Source organism: Homo sapiens, chromosome 21, assembly GCF_000001405.40.
Source record: "Homo sapiens chromosome 21, GRCh38.p14 Primary Assembly".
NCBI lineage: Eukaryota > Metazoa > Chordata > Mammalia > Primates > Hominidae > Homo > Homo sapiens.
The window spans coordinates 37,558,288-37,572,907 of NC_000021.9; the positions used below are offsets into that span (position 1 = coordinate 37,558,288).

General features: G+C 47.0%; 2 long non-coding RNA genes across 3 annotated transcripts in view, besides 2 other annotated features; both read left to right on the top strand.

Moving 5' to 3' along the window:
- Positions 1 to 14,620, top strand: part of KCNJ6-AS1 (KCNJ6 antisense RNA 1) — a 222,067-nt gene that overhangs the window by 39,652 nt on the left and 167,795 nt on the right. The gene's annotated exons all lie outside the window — the stretch shown is intronic.
- On the top strand, positions 1,732 to 12,235 carry LOC105372798 (uncharacterized). 2 transcript variants are annotated; one of them, XR_937706.3, is made up of 3 exons: positions 5,761 to 6,594; positions 10,714 to 10,928; positions 11,883 to 12,235. It is a non-coding gene; the product is annotated as an uncharacterized LOC105372798 (long non-coding RNA). The 2 variants fall into 2 exon arrangements; XR_005647073.2 differs by lacking the exon at positions 10,714 to 10,928 and having other exon boundaries at positions 1,732 to 6,594.
- Positions 5,421 to 5,520: a silencer, noted in NCBI's record as "silent region_13308". NCBI's record gives its function as "represses an Ori minimal core promoter by ATAC-STARR-seq in GM12878 lymphoblastoid cells {active_cell/tissue: GM12878}" and the evidence as "EXISTENCE:reporter gene assay evidence [ECO:0000049][PMID:35858748]".
- Positions 5,560 to 5,854: an enhancer, noted in NCBI's record as "tiled region #302; HepG2 Activating non-DNase unmatched - State 10:DNaseD, and K562 Activating DNase unmatched - State 1:Tss". NCBI's record gives its function as "activates a minimal TATA promoter and a strong SV40 promoter by Sharpr-MPRA in HepG2 and K562 cells {active_cell/tissue: HepG2 | K562}" and the evidence as "EXISTENCE:reporter gene assay evidence [ECO:0000049][PMID:27701403]".

Here is a 14,620-nt window from a genome sequence, read left to right on the forward strand (position 1 = left end):
TAGTACACAGTAGAGTACACATTAGGTGCTCACAAATCCCTGTTGTTTAATTATTCAGGCTCCATCTCCATAGGTACCATGATCAGTTTTTTCACACATTCCTCTCTTTAGGGTCACAGTATGTGAAAGATCCCCTGATGCATTTTTTAAACATTTTATCAAAGTAAGAGATGCATGTAGTTGAAGAACTGTGTAGAACTGAAGGGCACGGTATGGTGAGAAGTGGTGCCTCCATCCGTTCCTTACCTCCCGGAAGATGACGCCTTCCTCTTCAATCTTTTAAGGACCCTGTGAGTATATTAGGCCCACCCAGATAATCCAGGACCATCTCCTCATCTCAAAGTCCTTAACTTAATCACATCTGCAAAGTCCCTTTTATCACAGAAGGTAAAAGTCATGGGTTCCAGGGATTAGGTTTGGGACCAATTATTCGGCCAACCACCTCCGTGTGAGCGAATGCCATTATTTCCTGATAAACCCATCCTTCACGCATCACCTGCCGATTTCCTATTACGAGAAGGATTTCACTCTTGTATCTTTACCTCACTTCCTCTCCCATCTTCTCACAATGTTATTAAGACCCTGCAACCATCCTTCCCAGCAGAGCCAGCTCATGTACTATCATTTCATGTCCTTTCTTGGAGGGGATTTTCTCCTACAGTGGAGACGCTTCTTCAATTTTCTGGCTGTCTTTATCTCTGTCCTGCAGTTTGCTCTTATCATGTTCCTGTCCTTCTCCTGGAACCCTCCCTCTGGAGTCCTCCAACTTTGTCCTCTGGGCACCTCACAGCATAGTGGTTGGGTGGGTTTCAACCATTGAGAGATAGAGACAGAGAGAGAGAACACAAACACGAGAATACTGAGTAGAGTCCTCTCACCTTTTTGACCCAGCCTTGGCAGTCACACAATGTCACTCTGGCTATACTCTTCTTCCAATTCTATTCACAGAGGCCCTGGTACGTTCAAAGGGATGGGGAAACAGACACTATCTCTTAAAGCAGGGGTAATGGTAACATTCTAGAACATGTGAGACCAGAAATGTTACAGTGGGCAACTGTGGAAATTATCAATCCACCCTACAGCAGAACAGTCTTTTTTTTTTTTTTTTTTTCCCCAAGATGGAGTCTCCCACTCTGTTGCCCAGGCTGGAGTGCTGTGGCGCAATCTTGGCTCACTGCAGCCTCCACCTCCCGGGTTCAAGCGATTCTCCTGCCTCAGCCTCACCAGTAGCTGGGATTACAGGGATGCACCACTATGCCCATCTAATTTTTGTATTTTTTTTAGTGGAGATGGGATTTCACTATGTTGGCCAGGCTGGTCTCAAACTCCTGACCTTAAGTGATCTGCCTGCCTTGGCCTCCCAAAGTGCTGGGATTACAGGTGTGAGCCACTGTGCCCGGCCTGGCATTATAGTCTTTTTCTCAAACAAAAATCTGTTTTCTCAGAGAGAGACTGGTGCTAGCTGAATAAAACATTATTTTCAACTCCATCCCGCTTGCTTTTCACTGTCTACCCACATACCGTATACAACTTTGTCATGAGGCTTTAAGACAACTTTTCTCTCTTGTTATCTCCACCCCTCCCATTATTTTCATTTTATATGACCTTATCTTTTTTCTTTGCTTAGTATTAGAAAAATAGCTTTTAAAATGAAGAATAGTATTTTTTCTTCAAAGGATGCATCCAGAAACAGTTGCATTTCCTGAAAGTCCTTTATTTTTTTAACCACTTCAAAAAATATAAGGTCTTTGGGACAGATTTTTGTGTAACCAAAAGGCTGATGTTAGGATGATGGCCAAACTGTAACCACTCCCTGTCACCCCCTTGGCTTGTTGCTCTTGTTTTAAAAATCATTCTTTTGAGAACAAATACTTTTAGGCAATCTAATTACAATATGATATGTAATATTTGAACCAGTTGACCAAAATCAACATTAAATCCAAATCTCACATTATTTAGGCAAAAAGGAGACCTAATGCATTACATTACATGTAGATTTCAAAGTTCTTACACTATTAAAACAGTGAGAAGACAGCAAGGGTTGCCTGCAGGCCACACAGCCCCTCTGTGATGATACCTTACGAGTACCACTGAAGATGTCAAAAGCCGCTTTGAGCCTTCCTGGTGCAGGTGCTGCTTGGACATTATGAGGCTTCACTGGCTCATCTCAGCCCATGTTCACAGAGCTTACTGCTGTCTAGTGCTTGGGGAGCCTCAGCCTCATCAATGGCCTGTGTTACGCTGCCGTGGAGGGTGTCCAAATGTGCTTTCCACTCTAGGTCACCAGGTACAGTAGTGCGTGCCAGGCACTGAGCAACTCTAGGGGCACCATTCTCATAGGGGTCATCCTAGGTCAGTTTCCTAACAAATAGTAGAATTTATCTCTAGCAATGGGAGCCTTTTCTAGTTCATGCCAAGGTACATGCTGCCTGGAGGGAAAAGAGCACTGTTCCTGCAATCAGTTAATTGGGGCATAATCCTGCAGCTTTCGTTTGACGACCCTGTGTGTATTAAGTTTCCTAGGGCTGCTGTAACATACAACAGCCTGGGAAACAACAGAAATTAATTTTCTCACAGTTCTGGAGGCTAGAAGTCTGAGATCAAGGTGTCAGCAGGGTTGGTTTTTCCCAAGGACTATCTCCTTCGTTTGTAGATGGCTATTTTTTCCCTGGCTCCTCACATGGTCTTCCCTGCGTGTGTCTGTGTCCTAATCTCTTCTTACGACACTAGTCATATTGGATTAGGACCCACCTTTATGACCTAATTTAACCTCATTTATTTCACTCTTATTTGTTAAGAGTCAGAGTCTTGCCCTGTCACCCAGGCTGGAGTGCAGCGCCATGATCACAGCTCATTGCAGCCTTGAACTACTGGGCTCAAGTGATCCTCCTGCCTCAGCCTCCTGAGTAGCTGGGCCTACAGGTGCGCACCACCACAGCCAGCTTCATTTATCTTTTTAAAGACGCTTTATGCAAATATAGTCACATTATCAGGTACTGGGGGTTAGGACTTAAACATACGAATTTTTGGAGAACATATTTCAGCCAATAACACTGTGCCTCAAGGGCCCTAATCTTTAACCTAGGGAATATAATGATATTCTTACAGAAAATCATATCAAAGTGCTTTGTAGACTGCAAAGGGCTGCACAAATATTGTGTGGTTACTTCCTGTGTCCTGACAACTTGTGCCTGGATCCCTGATGTGATCATTTAGATCTGGTAGAAATACCAGGTGGAGTCAGCCTCCTAAAGATGGAACAGTGGGTAACAGGTGTAGAAGCTGGGGCATGAGGTGGTGGCGTGCTCTCCTTGCATGAAGGCCCTCTCTCCCCTGCTGCTCCCGCTGTTGGTGCTGATGTTCAGACTCATGGACAGTGAGCCCTACAATGTGTCATACCCCTGGGGCTGAGGGCAAGAGGGAAAGGGAACAATGGCCCACACCAAAATGTAAAAGGCCCTCCGGGAGTTCTGGTGTATAGGCCCTCCATGTAGCTGGAAATGATGGCCACAATTCCTCAGACGCCTGCCGGCTCTTTCTTCCACGTCTTTAGTAGGGGATCAACAAGGTCACTTACTGTAGGGAGTGATTTACTCCGCCTTCCCTGGATCACATCAGATTGATTCTAATCAGATATCTATGTACTGTTACTCCCTGAACAAGCATTTGGCAGTACTGGTAGTGGGGAGCCAAGATGGATTTAATTTCCTTTGGCCGATATGCTTCATTTTCATGATAACATTTCTCAAAACTTAACGGAGGGGCTCTTGATTTCTGAATCTGCCCTTTTTTCTAGAAGGGTAAGGCAGGAAGGTAAGATCTCATTCTCAGATGATTAAGACCAGCACCCTCCTGCAGTATCCACGCTCCCACCCTGGGGCTTTCCTTTGAAATCAGCAAGAGTCTGTGTAGATGAAGAGATACGAGTCAGGAGCAGGTCCACATAGAAGCGGCTTTCCCATATTAATAATAATGTTTCACAATAATATCACTTTGGGTGCTTCCTCTACTCCTTGGAGCCATAGATAGTGGATTTATTGACTTGTTTTCCTTTGACTTATGGCTCTTTCTCGTTATTTTCTGAGTGTGGTTTTGCTTTGCTTCCTGGAAAGGGAAACAGAAGTGGTTCTGGTGAATCCTGGGAGAGTAGAGCCTAGTTTTGAACTCTTACTCTCTTGATGACACGGCTGCTCAGAGGGAAGCGTGGCCAGAAGAACATGTTGGAGTTCCTTGCTCATATCCCTGTGAATATGGCCACATGTGGCTCTAGGCATTCAGTGGGTTCATGCAGTCTTTGGAACAGAACCCCACAAGGGGCTGACAAACAACCTTCTAAGGCTTGGGGAGTGCTGAACTGGACAAACCAGGGTTTAGAGCTTCCTCAGTGACATGCACCGAGTGGATCCAGTGGCCCCTCTTAGAGTCTCTCCAAAAGGAGGGGGGCCCTTCTTCCCTTTTTTGCATCTCCACTTCCCTCTCCCTAGGGCCCAGTGCTTTGTCTGACCTCCTCTCCCACTGGAAATTTAGAGGTTATGTGCATTTCATCTATCAATGAATACAAAGAAGATGATTCCGAATCCGAGAACTGCTAAAATGGAATTTCAGGCATTTCCAGGGAGAGTTTAAATGGTAGAAAGGGCTGGATTTACCATTAGTGGCTATTAGTTTGATTCTACTAAGACAGCATTTCTATTTTGCTGTTGGGACTGAAACAAACCTCATTCATTTGACATGAAAAAAGTTGGGACAGTTTTGGTATCTCCTTAGCTGGCTCGGTTAAGTGTATGTGAGGGAGACCATTTTTCACGCCTGGCCGGCTCTGTGCTTAAGTGGCCCCATCGCAGCCAGAGTAGCCTCATTACAGCTGAAGTCCCTGGTAGGTCTCCTCCTTCCTCTGAGCCCAGCGCAGTGCCAAGGCCGGGGACTCTGGCTGGCACTGGTGACACGCTGTCTTGTCCTGAAGACACGAGGTTGGGTTCGGCAGCTGGCTCCTCCGGGACAGGGCCCAGTGCACTGAGCTTAGCTGAGCCCTTCCCCTCACACCTGAAGTGTGGCACGAGGATGGTCACTCAGAAGCAGCGAGTAGGGTGTCCTGGTGGGAAAAGCCTGGCTTTGTGCAGTCTCGGGGAAGGTTTTCAATGCCATCTGAGCCTGTTTCCTCATCTCTAAGGCAGGGACCAGGTAGCCCGCCCCGCAGGGTAGTTGCAGGAAGCAGACATGTATCTGGGAGCAGCTGGCGAGTTCCTGGCATGCACTGCTCCCATCCGATTTCCGCAGATTTCCTGCTGGAACGTTCTCTCGGGCCTCAAGTTTTCCTGAGAGGACGACGTGGAGAGTGGAGACAAAGATGCTCAAAAGCCAGGAAATCGCAGGCTCGGAAGCCCCCACGCATGCCTCTGAACGCAGCGCCATCTCGGGGCTGCGGCGGGACCAAGCGGGACGCTTGCAGGCTGTCGGCGGCGGGGGCCGCGAGCCGCCGGCGTAGGCCGCTCCAGCTGGAAGACCCCACCGCTAGGGTTCCAGGGGGCTGCGGACGCTTCCGAGGGGCCCAAGGCGAAAGAACGCAGCCCGCTTGTCGGCCACGTGACCGTCCCCGTCCGCGTCCGCAGCGACCACGTGACTGTGCGTCCGCGGCGTCGATTGACTGGGAGCTCCCTGGCCACGCCCTAAGCGCCAGCCCCGGGCTTCGGGGGGCGGTGCTGCTGCGGTTGCCATGGCGTCTTCCGAGCGCGCAGGCGTGGGCCCAGAGTAGCTTTTCGGGTATTTGCTACCGGCTCTCGGTAGGGCTGGTCACCTTTGCTTGCTGAGCTTCGCGCCCTGCGTCCTTTGGTCCCCAGCAACTTGCAGGGCAGCCGTCCCTCATGAGGCCCTCCAGCGAATGCCCTAAAGCTCCGAAGTTGCTCCGGAGGAAAACAGGCTTGCTCCGAGGGTGCACGTCCTTACTGCCCGTGACGTCGTGGTGCCTTGAGGGCACCCTTCTGGGAAGATCCTTGCAGAGGCCATGTCCCCTCTCCACGACATCCAAGCCCATTCCCAACTTGCTTTTCACTCCTGTCCCCCCGGGGAACGTCTACTGGACCTTAGGACAGCCCCTCACCCCCGTGCACCCCCCAGGTGGATCTGCAGCGAAACCTCTGTGGTGACTCACAGTTGCTAGCATTGGTTATCTTCTTCCTGGCAGAAGGTGGCAGGCTGATGCTGTCGTCGTTCCTGTGTGTCTGACAAATCACAAATATGAATTCAGATCGTCACAGCTGAGTCATGCCCAGGATTTCCATGAGCCCTGCTGGGGTGGCCAGCTTGAGCTCCCTTCCCCACAGCCTCCTCCAGCTCTGCAGCGCCAGGCACCAGTGTGACTCATGGGGGCCTGTGGAAGCCGGGGCTGCTCAGTGGGGCTGAGTCTAGGAGGGGGAGAGAGAGAAAGGGAGCCCATCAACAATTACAGTGCAAACGCCGCAGCTGCCACCACCGAGTGCCTCCAGTTAGGAACTGGTTTGTGAAATTCATTACCCTATGAGACGAGTTTTATCTCTGTTTCACTCAAGAGGATTCTGAGGCTCAGGAGGTTGTGAATGACTCGGGGAAGCACAGCTGGTAGGTGGCAGGGTTGAAATTTGAATCCAGGTCATTCTGACCCAGGAGTTCAGACTTTTTCCCAGCCCAGCCTTTCCACTCGACCTCAATTAGCACAGTCATGCTGGGTGCCAAAGCTATTTACTTTGCTTGCGGGAGTCCAGGAGCTGGCTCCTAATGGCTCCATTTGAAATGGTTTTTTAGGCAAAGGAGACTAGATGAACGTGGAGGAGAGGGAAAGTATTTAGGCGCGAAGATGCTACAGAACAGGCTTATTCCAGTGCACCTCCAAACCCAGGCGTGGTGTTCTTCCTTCTCGTGCCTTACTTTTACATCCCCAGCCACTGCTTGGTATCACCTGGTTGTCCTCTGGGCACCTGAAGCTCAGCATTTCCCAGGATGAATATTTGCTTTTCCCTGCCATATCTGTCTGCCCTGAGTGAGTCAGTATCAGCGGCCATGTGACCGTCCGTGTCTGCAGCGTCCTCCCCCCATCCCAATATTCTTGCAGGCAGTCAGGCTTTGAAGACCAGGTTGTCTCTTGTTAACTTGAAAATCACACAATCTAGAAATTTGGACCAGGAGACTTTCTTTCTTTCCTTTCTTCCTTCCTTTTTTTTTTCTTTTTTTTTTTTTTTTTGACAAAGTCTTGCTCTGTCGCCCAGGCTGGAGTGCAGTGTGGCTCGATCTCGGCCCACTGCAACCTCTGCCTCCCGGGTTCAAGCGATCCTCGTGCCTCAGCCTCCCGAGTAGCTAGGATTATGGGCGCCCGCCACCATGCCTGGCTAATTTTTGTATTTTAGTAGACACAGAGTTTCACTTTTTTTTTTTCAAATAGAGACAGTGTTACTGGTGGAGGGTGTCCAGGTTCTTGGCGTCTTGTACAAAGAACTGGGCAAAACCCACAAACACAGCAAGGAAAGAACGAAGCAACAAAAGCAGAGATTTATTGAAAACGAAAGTACACTCCACAAGATGGGATCAGACCCGAGCATAGGGACTAAGAGCCTGGTTTCAGAATTTTCTGGGGTTTAAATGCCCTCTAGAGGTTTCCCATTGGCCACTTGCTGTACACCCATGCAAATGAAGTAGTGGCTTGCAATCTACTGTAACTACAAAGTGAAGTTACAAAGGTTACACACTATGCAAACGTCTGATTAGTTGTGGAAAGCAACCAATCAGCGGCTAAAGTGAAGTTACAAAGTTACACTTCTATGTAAACAAAGACTTAGCCTGCAATCAGTCTGTCTGGTTGTAGAAAATGGGAAAGTATGGAGGGTTTATCTCTGGTCCTTTTGTTACTTTGTTGTGGAAAGTTGGGGTTTTCCTTTTGATTTAGTTCTAGGAAGTCAACATGAGTTGGCCTTAGGTTCCCTGCTTCTAGACCCCATTCTCCTGCCTCAACAGGGTCTTACTATGTTGGCTAGGTTGGTCTTGAACTCTTGGCCTCAAGCAGTCCTCCTGTCTCGGCCTCCCTAAGTGCTAGGATTACAGGCGTGAGCCCCCACGCCTGCAGAGGAGACTTTATTTCTTATAAGGGGTTATAGGCTGCAGGGTGGCCATCCTGTAGGCTGGGAAGAGCCTCCTTCAAAGACCAGAGACAGGCCCTCTGGGGGAAGAAGGGGTAAGTCAGAAATTTAAGTTGAACATGTTGACCAAATGTACATATTCAACAGATTATCAGAGGAGATGTGAGTATTTATGAAGGGGGTCCTGACACATGCATATTGAACAAACATGCATGTAACATACAACCCATGTTCATTTGGGGTGGAAAATAACATTTGAATGTATTACAATTAGCCCCTATAGGTCAAAAGTTCCTTTTGGGACACAAAAGCACTCAAGTGTGCACCCTCTGTAAACTGGCTAGGACTAGTTCATGATTGGATTGGTGGTGTCTCATCTAGAGAAAGTTACTGACATCAGTGTCTTGTACAATCAAAGGTGTAGTTATGGCTGGGCAGTTAGTCTGTGCCTTATCTGCGTGAGCTGCAAATTGTTTTAATATTGCTTATCCTGAGACCAGTGCTTATTTAGACGGTAGAGAAAAAGAAAAATTCTGTGGCTGTTAGAACAGAATTTATTCTTTAAGCATAGAGGTGAGTGATTCAACCCTTGCTTGGTGTAAGGAACATGGTTGTGCTTTGGTCAAGGATAGGCCAAGGTGGGATGTTTACATCCTGCGTGACTCAGGGAGTTTAGAGCGCAGGCGTATAACTCCACTTGTTATCGCATCCACGGAGCCATAACATGGGAAGGCCGTCCCTTGGCATTAAGCCACTATTGTCTGTAAAAGGTATAATTGCCCTGCCGACACTGTACAGGTGCTGGCACCCAGAGAAAGAGAGAGAGCCAGAGCTGTCCATCTTTGCAGATGGACAGAGGGGAACCAGGACACAGCTTGGCTCACTGGCGCCCAGAGAGAGACAGAGTTAAGCTGCCAACCTTGAAGGCAAGGGAGAGCTGGCTGCGCAGCTGTGTGTGTGGGAGCTACCAGACTAAGCAGCCGAGACAGGGCGGACAGTGTGAGAAAGCTGTTGATGAAAGCTGCTGTTGAATAAAACCATATTCACCTGCCTACCACCCCATGACTGTTCTTTCTGCTCATCTACCCACTCCCTTTGGACCTCAGCATGGGCTGGAACCTGACCCCAAGTGTGACATTTGGCATAGTTGTGAGCCTGACACCTGGCGTGGCCATAGGTCTTATTTATAGTTTGATGTCTTATTTATAGTGTGATATCTTATTGTCACAGAATCTGTTGTCCTATGATCTCTATTTTAGCATTAATGCTCATCAGCTGTGTCTAAACCGCAAAATGGGAGGCATTAACGAGGCATGTCTGCCTGCCCATCCTGTCATGGCTGGGAACTCAATTTTTAAGGTTTTTCAGGGGTCCCTTTGGCCAAGAGAGGGCTCGTTTAATTTGTGGGGAGGACTTAGGATTTTATTTTTAGCTTACACTCTGAAGCTCCTGCTCACATCCAATTGTATGAAAACAAGCTTTTCATGTATTTCGTCTAGTAATTTTTTTAAATTTTTTGTTTTTGCAGCAGAAGGATTCCTCTGGTTCTCCATCACGGCCAGAAGCATAATTTGATGACAGCATTTTTTTTTTTTTTTGAGACAGAGTCTTGCTCTGTCACCCAGGCTGGAGGGCAGTGGTGTCACCCAGGCTGGAGGGCAGTGGTATGACCTTGGTTCACTGCAACCCCCACCTCACAGGTTCAAGTGATTCTCCTGCCTCAGCCTCCTGAGTAGCTGGGATTACAGGTGTACGCTGCCACTCCCAGCTAATTTTTTGTATTTTAGTAGAGACGGGGTTTCACCGTGTTGCCCAGGCTGGTCTTGAACTCCTGAGCTCAGGCAATCCACCCACCTTGGCTTCCCAAAGTGCTAGGATTACAGGTGTGAGCCACCGCGCTCAGCCGATGACAGCATTCTTTTCGATCATTTTCTTTTCTGCTGTTCAGACACTGCTAATGGCTTGTAGTTTCCCGTGATACTAATGAGACAGGCTAGTTTATTAGTGTTTTGTTCTCTTTTTTCTATCTCCTCCCCATGCCCATTCTGAGCAGATAGCTGTACTCTTCACATGTCCTTGCTTCAAGAAACTGGTTGAAGACCACCCTTCGTCCAGCCTTGTGTGAGTCTGAGCTTGTTGAAGAGACTTTGCCACAAGTTTAGTGGTGGGAGAGGGGGAAAAGGAGTGCTTTTGAGGTCTGGGAAGGAGAAGAAGATATTTTAGAACCGACTCTCACACCTCGTGCCTCCCAGCAGGGCCTCGAGGGTGTGGTGAGACACCAGGACCACACAGCCTTGGGACCAAAGCTGTGCCTGATGTGATACAGGTCTCCATAAAGGTTTGCCAAACAAGCAAGTTAGTACTTACAATTTCCCATGACTGTCACTCAGATTACGTGTGCCTAAATAACTTGCCCATCGCTTAAAAGAGAAACCCCATAAATGTCCTTTGATCCATTTATGCCTCAAGACTGTTGTCATTGTCATTGTCATTATTGTCATGTTCTCAAATATTTTTGCCTGGAGAGTTTTCCTGTCTGAGGACTTTTCACATGTAGAAGAATTACTTCTCATTCTTCCTGTTGAAATTACTCTCAAATCTTTTCTGACAGAGTTGCAAACACACTGACAGCTCCCGAATGATCTGATACAGGATCCTTAATAGGCATGGAAGTGTTCGCCAGACAGAGGGGTCCTGCCCTTGCTGATCTGAGCTGGTTCTGTGTTAGAGACTCCGTGGGCGTCTGTTTGACAGGATCTGCCAGGAGCTGAAGAATAACTTTCCTGATCTGGAAGAGCAAATCTCAGATATTTTGCACATTTGCAGGTATTTTAAAACAGTTTCTGTAAGATGCCAACATTACTTTTCCAGTATTTTGAAGTTCTCCAGTGTTTACTGAGAAGAGCTCAGTTGTGTTTATACCGAATTTCAGGTGGGTTTCTTGACCGCGCCTCTCACTTCATCACCAGCTTTGCTCTGGGCCCCTAACTGTACTCCTCCTGAGGGTCCCGCGGATTCAGGTGACTGGTGCCCTTCAGGTTTCATTTGTGAGGACCTATTCTTCTTCCTGGGACTTTGGCTTGTGTCTTTCTTCTGCTAAACCAAATTTGCCACTTCCTCTAAGATTCTGTTCCAAACTCTCTCATCTCAGGAACGTTTCCTGAAAACCCGACTCCCTGTGCTGATTTTTCCTGATGAGCCTTCCCTATGCCCTTGGTAAAATGAAGTTTGACAAACACAACTATGTTTATGAACATTTGCATTCATATAACTTTTCTCTTCTCTTGAATTATTTGCTTAATAATCCTCCAGGAGTGAATTTACTGGATGAAAGCATTTCAACTTTTTTTTTTTTTTTTTTTTTTGTGAGATAAGGTCTTGTTCTGTCACCCAGGCTGGAGTGCAGTGGCACAATCATAACTCACTACAGCCTTGACCTCCGGCTTCAAGCAGTCCTCCCACCTCAGCCTCCCGAGTAGCTGGGACTACAGGCACACACCACCACACCCAGCTTATTTTTGTATTTTTTATAGAGACAGGGTTTCCCCATATTGCCCAGGCTGGTCTTGAACTTTTGGGCTCAAGTGATCTGCCTGACGCAGCCTCCCCAAGTGCTGGGATTACAGGCATGAGCCACCCTGCCTGGTCGCATTTAGACATTTTTATGGGTGATTGAATTCATTCATTAAAAAAGTATTTGTTGAGCATCTGTAGGGTGCCAAGACTGTGCTGGTAGCTAGGGTGTGACAGTGACTCATAGTGACCTCTTATCCTTCCTAGAACCTACCCCTAGGAGTGGGAGAAGACCACAACCAAAGAAGCAAATGGACACACGGACTATCAGATGAAAGGCAGCTACACAGGAAAATAAAGCAGTGCAGCAGGATTGGAGGTGCTTGTGGTGAGAGGAGGTAGGGAGTTGCTTTTTACATGGGGAGATCAGGGAAGGCCTCAGTAAGGAGGTGATATTTGAATAGAGAGAGACCTGGGAGAGGAAAGAGAGTGAGCCCTGTTGATATATAAGGGTAGAATGACTCTGGCAGAGCGGTTAGTGCAAAGGTCTTGTGGCAGAAAACACCCTTTTGGACTTCCATTGTGAATGTCTTGGGACACTTGATGGTGTCCCACAGGTCTCTGAGGCTTTGTTTGTTTATTTATTTATTTAGAGACAGGGTCTTGCTCTGTTGCCCAGGCTGGAGTGCAGTGGTGCAATCATGGTTCACTGCAGCCTCAAACTCTTGGGATCAAGTGATCCTCCCACCTCAGCCTCCTGAGTAGCTGGGACCACAGTTGCACACCACCATGCTCAGCTAATTTCTTATTTTTTGTAGAGATGAGGTCTTGTTTTGTTGTCTAGGCTAGTCTCAAACTCTTGGAGTCAAGCAATCCTCTCTCCTTGGTCTCCTAAAGTGCTGGGATTAAAGGTATGAGCCACTGGCCAATAAATCATTTTAAAAAATCATTTTTTCCCTTTCTGTTATGGACTGAATGTTTGTGACCCAACCCCCGAATTCATATGTTGAAACCCCAATCCCTAATGTGGTGGCATTTGGAGGCGGGGTCTTTGGGAGGTAATTGGGTTTGAATGAATCTCGAGGTGGAGCCGGTGAAGGGATTGGTGCTTTTATAAGGAGGTGAAGGGACCAGAGCTCTCTCTGTCATGTGAGGATATGGCAAGGAAGCAGCTATCTGCAAGCTTGGGACCAAAGCTAAGAAAAGACTATGCTGCCACTCTGATCTCAGACTTTGAGCCTTGAGAACTGTGAGAAATACAGAGTTATCGCTGAAGCCACCCTGTCTGTGGCATTCTGTTGTAGCAGCTGGAACTGACTAAGACAGGTTCCCTTCTTCAACCTGGATAATCTTAGTGGACCTACCTTCAAATCTGCTGTTGAGCCACTGGTGAATTTTTCATTTTGGTTACTGTACTTTTCAGCTCCAAAATTTATAGATATATATTTTGACAATTTCTTAATTTCTGTCTCTTTATTCATGTTCTGTATTTGGTGAGACATGGGTCTCGTACTTTCCTTTATTTCTTTAGATTGGGCTTTCTTTAATTCTTTGAACGTACAGTTGTCCTTTGATATCTGCGGGGGATTGGTTCCAGGACCCCTGGGGATACCAAAATCTGTAGATGCTCAAAGTCTGTTGACTCTCCCTATCTGTGGATTCAACCGATCGTGGATTGAAAATTGCAGTGCAGGAATGTGGATAGGAGGACTGACCATACGTTATTTGTAATAGCTGACTTGACATCTTTACATAGTCAGTTCAACATGTGGGCCTCCTTAGGGACAGTTTCTGTCTGTCTTTTTCCCCCCATGTATGGGCTATATGTCACGTATCTTTTTATGTCTCCTTGTTTTTGCTGTTGAAAACTGGACATATGACATAACATAATGTGGTTACTCTGGAAATCACATCTCCCCAGGCTTTGTTGTTTCTGCTGTTTATTGAATAATTTCCCTGGATAAAGGGTGTAAAGTCTATGTTCTTTGTCACAGATGATTACGAGGAGTTTCTGGGAACTTCCAGACAGGTTAGACAATAACAATCTTTAAGAGTAGGACTTTCGGGGAGTTTCACTCCCTGGCTCCCCTGTCCAGCGGCTGCCAGCTTTTTGCATTTACAACTGCTGTGGAGCTGGGAAGAAGGAGATGGCAACAGGGCAAGTTAAAATGCTGCACAGCTCACAGTTCTGTCTGAGATTCAGTCATTTTTCTTGAATAAATCTCCAGGAATTGTTGCAAGCCTTTAGTTAATTTCCACAGTTCTGAAAAGTTGATTTAGACAATTTTCCATCATTTTCAGCCACAGCCAATTTCACCATTCCCTTGAAACTTGCATTTATTTTGCTTACATCCAGATTTGCAAAACTCCTTGCTCACTGTTCACTAGATCCCGTCTTTTTTTTTTTTTTTTTTTTGAGACAGAGTCTTGCTCTGTTGCCCAGGCTGGAGTGCAATGGCGGTATCTCGGCTCATTGCAACCTCCGCCCCCTGGGTTCAAGCAATTCTCCTGCTTCAGCCTCCCGAGTAGCTGGGATTACAGGCACCACCACCAGGCCCAGCTAATTTTTTTTTTTTTTTTTTTGTATTTTTAGTAGAGACGAGGTTTCACCATATTGGTCAGGCTGGTCTCGAACTCCTGACCTTGTGATCCGCCTGCCTCGGCCTCCTAAAGTGATGGGATTACAGGCGTTAGCCACCACGCCCTGCCAAATCCCATCTTAATTCAACTCACCTGCACGCTTTCAGACCTCTCTTGGTCTTTGCCCCTCTGTGGTAACTATTGCATTTCTAGAACACTGGACTTAATTCCCAAGCCCTTCTTCACATCCAGGCATTCTAGGACAGGAAGAAACTGCTGTCTGATTCTATAATTATCACACTTTCCATGGCTGAGTGAAGTTTTGACAGAACTTTTATTCAAATGTTATACCCTTGTTAAAGCAAACTAAATATGGCTTGAGAAGGACTCCGTACTTCTATATTTTAGTCCTTGTGGATGAACTG